The sequence below is a fragment of the Homo sapiens genome, chromosome 8 (assembly GCF_000001405.40).
Source record: "Homo sapiens chromosome 8, GRCh38.p14 Primary Assembly".
Classification (NCBI taxonomy): Eukaryota; Metazoa; Chordata; class Mammalia; order Primates; family Hominidae; genus Homo; species Homo sapiens.
Genome location: NC_000008.11, coordinates 126063314 through 126074496, shown reverse-complemented (window position 1 = coordinate 126074496; position 11183 = coordinate 126063314). Strand labels below are relative to the sequence as shown.

At 39.6% G+C, this 11183-nt stretch overlaps 1 pseudogene; it reads right to left on the bottom strand.

The window, feature by feature from the left end:
* KNOP1P5 (lysine rich nucleolar protein 1 pseudogene 5) lies at positions 250–1941 on the bottom strand (annotated as a pseudogene).

Sequence of the window (11183 nt, the reverse complement as noted above, 5' to 3'; positions counted from 1 at the left end):
CTCAAGCCTCCAGAAAAGAATGCAGCCTACAGTCAGCACTTTAAGTCCCATGCAACCTATAATAGATTTCTGACCTACAGAGCTTTAATGTCATAAATTGGTGTTGTTTTAAGTCATGAAGTTTGTGGTAGCTTCTTATGACAGTAATTGAAAACTAATACCTGGTCTTTTTAGCAGAATAACGAGCACCCTGTAATGTGTCATTCATGCATATCTTTTTTTTTTTTTTTTTTTTGGTGGGGGCAGGAAGACAAAACTCTAGAGTTTAATCTTCCAGCTGACTGACTTGGAAGTGTTCCTGTCAATATAAAAGATCTTGTTGGGGGGCGGTGGAGAAGCCAAAGCAGGCTCGGCGGCTGTACTTCCAGCTCATGGCCCGGTCGTAGTCCTGCTGCAGGTTCTGCTGCAGGCTGTGGGCTGCCTTCTTGCTGAGGGCCATGTTGGGCCTTGCAATCGTGCTGGGGGTTGGGGGGGGTGGGCAGCTGAACGAAGGGGACAGATTTGTTTGTATGTTTGTTTGTTTGTTTGTTTTGAGATGGAGTTTCGCTCTTTCACCCAGGATGGAGTGCAGTGGCTCAATCTCGGCTCACTGCAACCTCTGCCTTCCTGGTTCAAGCGATTCTCCCACCTCAGCCTCCCAAGTAGCTGGAATTACAGGCACATGCCACCACGCCCAGCTAATTTTTGTATGTTTAGTGGAGTCGGGATTTCACCACGTTGGCCAGGCTGGTCTGGAACTCCTAACCTTGTGATCCACCCGCCACTGCCGGGACAGATTTTTGAAGCCACCCATAAGTTTGAGAAATTTCAGTTTCTGTTCCTCGTTCTCAAAACCAGCAGTATCCCACTGGCCAAACTGGGTTCCCGTCCACTTCCAGGTTTCAGAAGCTTCCGTTTTGCTTGACTCCTGATGGACCTCTTCTTGCAAGGACTTTCGCCTCACCTGGTCTATGTGCGCCTCGTCCATATTGCCTTTCCTTTCCAACACCACCTCTAAGTCCATGTTTGTTTCCTCCTTCCAAGGGTCTCCTGCTACCCCACTCTCTTTCCTCTTATTTTTTTCTTCCTTTTCAGAGCCGGCTCCTCGGTGACCTTCTTCTTGGACTTCATCTTTTTCTTCGCGGGGGCCTTAGGGCCATCTCCTATGGGGATATATTCCGGAGCCTCAACTTTGACTGGTTTAGTTTTACTTCCTTTATGGGGGCTGCTCTCCAAGGACCTGGAGGGCTTGGAGTGGCCTGGGAGGAGGTCTCCCTCCTGGTGGAATTTTTTTTTTCTTCTTCACCTTCCCACTGTGTTCCCTGGGGCTCTTCTGCTTCTGTTTCTGCCCCAAGGTTGCCTGTTCCTCACCCTCCTTCCCCACTGAGCAAGTGTCTGCAGCATCCCGGCCTTGCAGAACCAAGGGTCCTGGACTGAGAAGGCTGTGGGGTCCTGGGCCCCCTATTTTTTGCCTTCTTGTGTTTTTTAAGTTTCTTTCCGACTCTGGTTTCCTCCTCACTATGTCTGAGGTCTGAGGAGGTTTTCACCCTGGAGGCATGGGACATAGCCTGAGGTGACTTCTTTTTCTTCTCCCCACTGAGGAACTTCAAGTGGCCAAGTACCTGCTTCCTGGGGCTGGGTGACTTCTCTGTCTGTCTGGCACACAGCGTGGTCTCAGGTTCCACATGCTCCTCGCAAAGGGCGCTGACACCCTTCTTTTTCTCCTTTTTCTTCGCTAGAGGCATCTCAGGTGCCTGCCTATGGACTACACTCTTAGAAGGGGATGTGGCTCTTATAGGAGAAACATTGGCAAAGTAATCATCATTGTTTAAAATTGAATATTGAGTCTCTGGTTCTTTGACCACTTTCTTCTTCTTTTTCTTCTCTGGGAGCCCAGGGCCCAGGTCTACTTTGTATGTCTTGGTGATCATTCTGGTGGGCCAAACTTCCCTATCCCCCCTCATGCACATCTTAAAGACTATTTGAAAATAAAATGTTTATTGTGTTACTGAATTTTTATGGGAATGAGTGCTCATTCAGCTTCCAGACACTCCTAAGGCAAAAGTACTACCTGTTAAGTGTGGTTAAGGGGGCAACTGAAACCTGGGATGCATATATTTCGGAATAGCACAAGGACAACCAAAAGAGGGATAGATCTTAGGAGAAGCAATGGAAGAAAGTATCTCAAGAAGATGCTTCATTTGCCACAAAGAACTGGATGTAAGAACACTGGCAAAAGTAGAGGAAAACAGGATATTTTTGGCAGTGTCACTCATGTGGGCAAAGAAATCAAGCGTAGGGAGGGTATAAGGCTAACCAATTATCTCTAGACATGAGATATTTGTAGAATATTAGACGTAAGACAGAAAGAAAATTATTGAAAAGCACGAAGGCAAATTTACGAAGTTTCTATTTAAAAATACAATTGGAAAGCAATTGTTAATTGTGGGCATTTATTGTAAAGCAGTGGTGGTATTGATAGGAATAATAAAACATTAAGGGAAAATGATGACATATAACATTGAGTGCTTACTGTTTGTCATCAGTATAAATGCTGTATTTATTACCCCTGTAATCCTTTCAACAACTATTGAATGGTTAAGTTCTATTATCACTCTTTTTCCCACTGAGCAAAACTGAGACAAAGGTAAAGTAACTGCCCCAAATCAAAAGGTAAATAAACGGTAGAACAGGAATTTGAACCCAGATATTCTATTTCAAGAATGCATAATCTTACCCACTACATCATAATACTGCATTGAATATCAACTCCACTAGATACTAGTCTGGGCACGTGACACATATTAAATAATGTCTCACTAATCCTTTTTTTCTAAATTAGAAAACTGAGGCTAAGAGTGGTTAAGCTGTCTAAGATTTTTCAGATGAAAAAGATGGAATTCCAAATCTCTAATCATGGCAAAGCACCTATTATTGTACTTGCCCAAGTTGATCTCCTGGCCTCACATGATCTTCCCACCTTGGCCTCCCAAAGTACTGGGATTACAGGCATGAGTCACCACACCTGGCCCATAAAAAAATACTTAATATGAAAGAACTGCAGGAAATGAAAAAGGGAACAAAATCAGATGTGACACAAAGAAGAAAAATAGCAAAGGATAGATTTAAAAACCAAAAGGCAAGCCAAAACTGCAAGTATATATTTGTGTAACATATATCTGGCATTCAGCTTATATTAAGAATATAAAAAGAGCCCCTACATTTAAAAATGAAGAAAGCAACCAAATAAAAATACTTGAGTGGGCACTTTAATAAAAATATACGAATGGACAATAAGCATATGAAAAATTATTCAACATAACTGGTTATTTGGGAAATGCAAATTAAATGTAGTGAATACTACTTCACACCTTCTTGAATAGCCAAAATTTAAATTATTTACAAAACCAAATAATGAGGATGCAGAGCAACTGAAACCCTCATCTGTTGTTCATGAGAATATAAAATGGTTTGACAGTTTTTAATATAGTTAAATATATATCTAGCCTATGACCCAGAAATTTCACCCCTAATTATTTGCCCATGTGAGCTAAATATATTTATTCATACACTTGTAAAAGAATATTCATAGAAGCTTTACTTAAATTAGCCAACAAGGGGAAACAGGCCAAATATTCATCAGTAGGATAATATAATGTACTATTGATATACCCAACAGCATAGATAATCTCAAAAACAATGATAAGAGAAAGAAGTTGCCATGGTTTAAATGTGTCCCCCAAAGTTCATGTGTTGGAAACTTAATCCTCAATGCAGCAGCGTTGAGAGGAGAGACCTATAAGAGATGATTAGGTCATGAGAGCCATGCCCTCATGAGTGGATTAATGCCGTTATTTGAAGAGTGGTTAGTTTTCTTGGGAGTAGGTTTCTGATAAAAGGATGAGTTTGGCCCCCTTCCCCTCTTCCACATTCTCGGTTTGCTTGCCCTTCTGTCTTCCTTCAAAGGATGATGCCACAATGAGGCACTTGCAAGCCTCATGACCTTGGACTTCCTAGCCTCTAGAATACCAAGAAATAAATCTCTATTCTTTATAGATTACTTAGTTTAATGTATTCTGTTATAGCAACACACAATGAACTAAGACAAAAGCCATACATGAAAGAGTGCATACTATATGGTTTGATTTATATGAATTTCAAGAAAAGACAAAACTAATGGAAATTAGAAGAGATGTTGACTAAAGTGGAGATTGACTGATAAGGGCCATGAAGGACCACTTTTGTGTGATTGAAATGTTCTTGACAGTATCTTGACTAGGGTGTTGGATACAAGGCAAATACATTTGAAAATTCAGATTGAATGTCACACTTATCATCTGTGACAATCATTGTGTGTAAATTTTTCCTCAATCAAAAAATCCTGCTCACTCTAGCCCTGGGCTAATGCTAAGTTTACAACACTAAAATGGTTACCTATTTGTAAAGCAACTAATATGCATCAGTCACTGTGTAGGGTGTAGGAGTAGAAGGGTGATCAACAACTCAAAAACATACAAAGCACACAAAAACACACATGACCTTCTGAGGGGCTTTGCCCTTAGTTACTAAATTCATGGAACTCACATTCTAGTGCAGGAAACAATATTAATCAGAAACCAAATAATTTAAAATTACCACTCTGATAAATTACAGGGAGTGTTATTTTGTATTATAAAAACATATAATACTGGGAATTTAATCAGGGTAATAGCAAAGATTTCCTCAAAAAAGTGACAATTCAGTGGGCATAACCCTTTAGGAAAGAAACTTTTTTTGCTTTTGCAGGGATGTTATCATTGTTTATCATGATTGTTATTTTGCTGGAAATATCTAAAATCAGGAAAACTACCAAATTGGAAGAGTGATACAAACAAGATAGATACTTACTTCTCTGAGATAGGTAGATATCTGTCCAGCCAGAGAGAACTTGCCTGCTCAAGATCCCTTTAAATGCTATGATTCAGATATTTTTATTATACAATGTAGCGAAATGAATTTTTAAAACCCTACATTCATATTCCAAATCTGTTACCAAATTCTAAAAAAAAAAAAAGAGATTCAGACAGTAAACCTTCCCAGTATCACATAGTTTGCAATTGCCTGGGTTGGATAGCCTGGGTCAACTCAAGTTTTTATTTACAGTTGAGTGTGTTGTTTTTTCCATGGTCCAGTAAGTGTGTTGTCTCTGAGAGGCAGGGAGATAGATTTATTGAACATAGTCAGCTCTGCCCAGATTCCCTCTGAAGCTACTTACCTGTTCTGTGCACATAGGCATCAGTTTTGGTGTGCTTTGCTTCTACTGAGTTGCATCTGCAGCTTCCTTCAGAATGCTGCCTGCAGACCACTCCAGCCTCCTGGGTTGTAAGCACAGAAAGCTCAAAGCGTCCGGGAGTTTCCTCCTCACCCACCTACCACACACACAGTCCACTGCCAAGGGCTGACTTTGTGGGAGTATAAAGCTCAGCTCTGTTGCCTCCGGGCTGGATAAACTTTGATGTGTAATTTGTGCCACAGAGCACCCTGCAGGATTAGGCTGGGCTGGTACTTTGCCAGAAATTGCACCCTTCCCAGTCTTTCCTCCCCCATCCCTTACCAGTTTCTCTTGGGAGCTCTTTCTTAATAAATCACTGGTACATGAATCTCCATGTCAAGGACTGTTTCTAGTGAACCCACTCTAAGACAGCAGGTCAGAGCTCCCCTCCTAGACGAAAACTGCCTTTGACTCATTTAGCTCTGAGACAGAAGAAGCTAAGCATGTACAAGCCTCTCAGTTCTGGCAGAGCAGGAATCAGGGTATGTGCTATTCAGCAGATGAACAACTATGTTCATTGATGTTAGAATTCCCAGATGATCTTTAAGGGAAATTATCTGGTGGACTACTCACACAGAACAGTACCATCAACCTAGAAGAAACTGTCAACATCCTCAGTGAGCAGGAGTTACGAATAACCCAAAAACTGAAAGCATCGAAAGTATTCATCCAGTCTACCCTCCTGACTCAGAACACATTGTGCTAGAACTGTTTAAAGACAAAAGATTCTGCATCCTGTTTAATTAAAAACATTTCACAAAGAAAGTTTTCCCATGATACCACTGCAATCCCCTCATGAACCTAAATTTAGATGTAAGGTAGAGAAAAAGGTGAGATAAAGTTTGCTGAGTTTCTTCTATGTACCAGACATTTTCTTTGCAATGCCATTTAATCTTCCCAATAATCCTCTTAGCTACCACTAGCCCCACTTTCAACATGACAAAATGAGATGCAGAGATATTGGGTAGTTTATCTAAAGGTACATAGCTTATAAGCAGCAGACCTGGGGCTTGAAATCAACTGTGTTTGGATACAAAGCTGGTACTCATTCCCATGGGTTAATCAGCCTGCTCCCTTCAACCTGCAACTGATTGGGATGCAATCAACTATTTTAACAAGTGAGACCTTGTGTAGTATTTCACTGGGAAGGCAACTTCAAATACTGCAAACAGTGAACAATCCAACTAACTGTGACTTCGTTAATACCGACGAGTGTTATATCATTAGGAGACCCAAGATCAGCAGATTCAGAGCTGCTTCCACAACCCCACAATCTCATGAGATATGCAAAATCTCTCTGGCTTTCTGCTGTACCATGTTGAGCATGTTAGTGAAGTGTCTCTTCGTGACTGTAAGGTGGTGTTACAATTTCCAAGGTCAAGAGAAGAGACAACAGGGAAAACATGAAAGGGCAGGGTGGTGGTTAGCTCTATGGGGATGTCACTCATTTATTTCATTATGGAAAATTATTCTTGTAAATAATGTCATAAGTCATTGATTTATGAAATAATTTCAGTGCAAAAGCATCTAGAAAAGTAAATATTTCACAAAAAGAAATGGGACAATTATAATTTGTTTTTACCAATAATGATTTGTTTTACAAGGGTGGGAACATGGCTTCCTGAATAAAATCAGGATTTTATAAAATGAGAAAGAGATGTATAATGATTGATAGGAATATGCTATGTTTGTTATATGGCAAGAAATAGATAGGAAAACCTTACTTTCTGTTCCCTATCTCCCAGTTCAGGTGTTCCTCAAGTCCCTGAAGACAGAGAGAATTGCTCCCTCTCACTAATATGTGGGCTGAGAGTATTTTAAATGGCTGGAGTTTGGAGGAGGCACTGAAACAGTAACGTCTGACTCCTATTTCACTCAATTTTTGACAAGACTTGGGATGAGAATGAAGAAGAGTGATAACAATTGAAGAGAATTTTATTCGCTTTCATTCTTTCACAGACACCTGCCCCAATAGCACACACCCCAAATGGACAAAGTTCAGCTCTGCTGAAGCCGGCACATTAAATGAGTGAAATATTTTTAGTAAGAGCAGTGGCCAAGTACAATGACAATTCGATTTTTTTTTCAAATGACAACTCCCGCCTCTGGCAGCTCATCTCTCTTTGCTGCCATCTGGTGTCACCTCACATGAACCTGACCTGGGTACAGATGAAGGGACTAGAATCCTTCAATTCTAGGGTTCTCCAGAAAGGGACTGAGAGTTAAGCAAACCCAGTTCTGGAAAATGAACAAATATGGAGAATTGAAGCCCCAAATTTGACACATTGAGATTTTGAGCAATAATAAATGCCCGGGGTGTGGGCAGGGTTTGACCGTCAGTAGGCTGGCCTTGCCATGCCGCCTGAAATTAGAACTTTCTACATGATAACATTTGGATTAATCAGAAGACAGAGGACTCACTATCTTGAGCACCAAATGGAGCACTTTTCATTTTAAGGCCCTTAAGTTTTATATAGATTTATGTAGATATACATAGATTATAGTAAGAATAGAAAACACATGTTAAGCAATATCTGTATGCTAGGCTTTGTTGTAAGCCTTTCATCTATATTAACTCGTTTAATACAAATACAACCATGTAGGAATGACACTATTATTATCCCCGTAACATGTATGAAGAAACTGAGGCACAGAGATGTTAAGTAATTCCCCAAAGTTACAGACCTAGTAACTTGTTGAACCAGTAAGCAGGGTGTGAACCCAAGCAGAACCTGTATTGTATCCTACCAGACTACAAATGTCTAAAGATGAGTTTTCCCTCGTATATTTATCCAGCTAGATTTTAACAGGCATCCCACCCTGCCACCGACACGAACGTGCATTCACACACACACAGCATGGCTTATGGCTTGCTTGGTTGGTTAAGCCCTTCCCAAACTTACTTACTCAGTAGTCTTTTATTTTCCCAGAAAACATTCAGAGATTGATATTCCACATACTCTACTTTGGGAAAAGTACAGTTTAAAGACAACCTGCAGCACAGTTTAAAGACAACCTGCAGCACACCCAGATAGGGATAAATCTACTCAGGACTTCAGTCATAAAAGGCTGATTACTTCATCACTCCATTCTGGTCTTGATAATATTTCTAAAAGATAACAATAAATAAATTAATAGTAAGTGATAATGTTAATATCTGTTTCAAGTGTTTTCTGTATGCCACATATTATTTTAAATTTTTTTCTGTATATTTTATTTATGTCTCATAAACTCAAGGATGTAGGAACATTATTATTCCCATTTTTAAAATAATAACTTTTAAATACAAAGATGTTAAATAACCAAAGTCTCCAATAATAACAAGTGGTGCCAATATTTTAATCCAGTCAGATTAACTTAGTTTAAATTAAAAGTCAGATTTTTGAAACTCACATAATTTCCTGGAGAGTTTTAATTCAAGTCTTCAGACAATGAAAGGACTAACTCAGAATGACTAAACCTGCATAGTGAGATTACAATGCTCTGCTTTTTATGAATGAACTATTAATACAAACACATAGAGAATGAACTTTTAATACTATGAGTATTGTTCTGGCGTTAGCTTTTAATCTCACTATGTTAATTAAGAGATGAATTCTCTAGCCAGGTATAGCTATGGGGAAACATTACTGTCCTTGTCTTTTCTGAGTGATGTTTTTTGTTTTGTGCTCTTTACTGTTGTTTGTATTTTGTACATTTGGGCCAAGTACACATAATTGAGGTCATTGTACTCTTAAGTTCATGGCATGTTATCACTTCGTCATCAAAATTCATGCCAAGGATGTTTTATTTTATTTTGCTTTGTTTTCACTTGTCCACCACCTTAAATTCCACTCTTCTTCCCTCATAAAGATTCACTCTGGTGTATAAGGTATTTTGTTTGCTCATTTGTTTTTGGAAAAATGTGTGTCTTTGGCTGGTGTTGCTTTTTGCCTGGAAAATGGCCCACCTCTGTTTTGTGAGCACATGGCTCCCAGCTCTGTTTCATCCTCCCTCTATAGCATCACCATATCTGACTTCCGAGAACTTTCTAATCTGAGCCACTCTGGCTTTTGTTGAAAAGATGTTTTATTTCTATTTGTTTATTTCATCTTATTTGTGTTGTGGATTGGCTGAGTTAGGTCTGAAAATGTCCCTCTCATTTTACTGGGCAACGGACTCCATGGCATGTGCACATAACACAATTTTAAATGTTCCTTTTGTCTATATGTGCTCAAGGTTTACATTTTTAACAATTTTATGCCCTTTTTTGTAGGTTGCATACTTCTTGTCTTTTTTTAAAGAAACTTCACCTACATTTTTTTGAATATACTACATTCTCTTCAGCCTTAAGCATCCACATTGCTGTCCCAAATATCTGGAACACATTTCTCCGCATTTATATGTATTGACTCTGCCTATAATTTTTTTCTAATTTGGAGAATGCATAAGTTTGTAGAATAAATGAATGAATGAATGACAAGGAGAATTGTCAAAGGAGAGCATGTGCTATTCAATCAGATGATCCCTTCTAAATATCACCGGCAAACAGCCTTGCCTGCCCTATATTCTGGTGCCAACTTAACTCAGTGAGACTGACAGAACGCCCATGAGCTCTTTACCAAACATCTGTCTTCACGGGTGTGTGCAACATCTTCTGTGTGCTAAGAACCAGTTTCAAGTTCAGGATTGATTTTTCCAGCTTAGTGCAGAAGATAAATAATGAACGAGAGTACAGTCAGGGTAATCACACATTTTAGAATTAGAAAGATGCTGCAACTACTTGAGATTTGGTATCTGATATCTGGAAATAATATGCTGTTCATAACAAGAGCATCTAATTGGATAACAATTTGATATTTAATGGTGCAGCTCATCCTGCTGTTAATCCTCTCCTCTACAGTTCCTGTTCTAATGAGGTTAGCACTAAATCAGTATGCTGGCTCCCCTAATCTCTTGAGAATCAACGAGTGGTCTTCATCATTAAGACTTCCACAAGGTAATGAGAAAATTTTCCTGAATATTTGATTAAAATACAAATAAAACAAATGGAACAAATCAATATTTGCTGGTAACAGTACTGTAGAGGATTTGAACAGTTCATGGGCCTCACTCTCTCCTATACGTTGTGATTGCCTTGCTGAGAATGGGGCTCTCTGCCCATGTACAAGACTGGAGGAGCTCAAACCTGGACTAAGGATCTCACACAAACTTTCTACCCTATAAGAAATTTGCTGGGAGTAATGATGAATAGCACTCACAACACTCATAACTCTGACACTCTACCTGCAACGATTTAAACATTTTTCATATTTTGACCCATCTAATTATGATAACAGTATTGGGAAGGTGCTGTCATTATCCCCAATGCATTCATTAAAGTAGGCCAGCTGACGTTAACAAATAAACCCAAATATGGAATGACTGGACCCCGTAGAAATTTTACCCTTGTGATAGGTTGATGATGGTTCAGCCACCTTTACCCTGTTGCTTCTAAAGTCATCCTGGGTGTTGCCATTTCAGTCAGTCAAGAGGAGGAAAGAGCATGGAGGAATAGGTATTGGAGTTCTATATGGGCCATGCAGTCATCAGTTTTGCTGACATACCCTTGGCTAAAACTCAGTCATATGGTCACACTGACTGCAAGAGAGGCTAAGAAATATAATCTAGCTATGTACCCAAATAGAGAGAAAGTATTTTTATTAACAGCAACAGCTTGTTTAATGCTACACTCATTGTACAAATAAAAAACCCAAGGCAGCCAGATGTGATGGCTCATGCTTGTAATCCTAGCACCTTGGGAGGCTGACGTGGGTGGATCATTTGTGCCCAGGAGTTCGAGACTAGCCTGAGCAACAGAGTGAGACCCTGTCTTTACAAAAAATACCAAAAAAATTGCCAGGCATGGTGACAT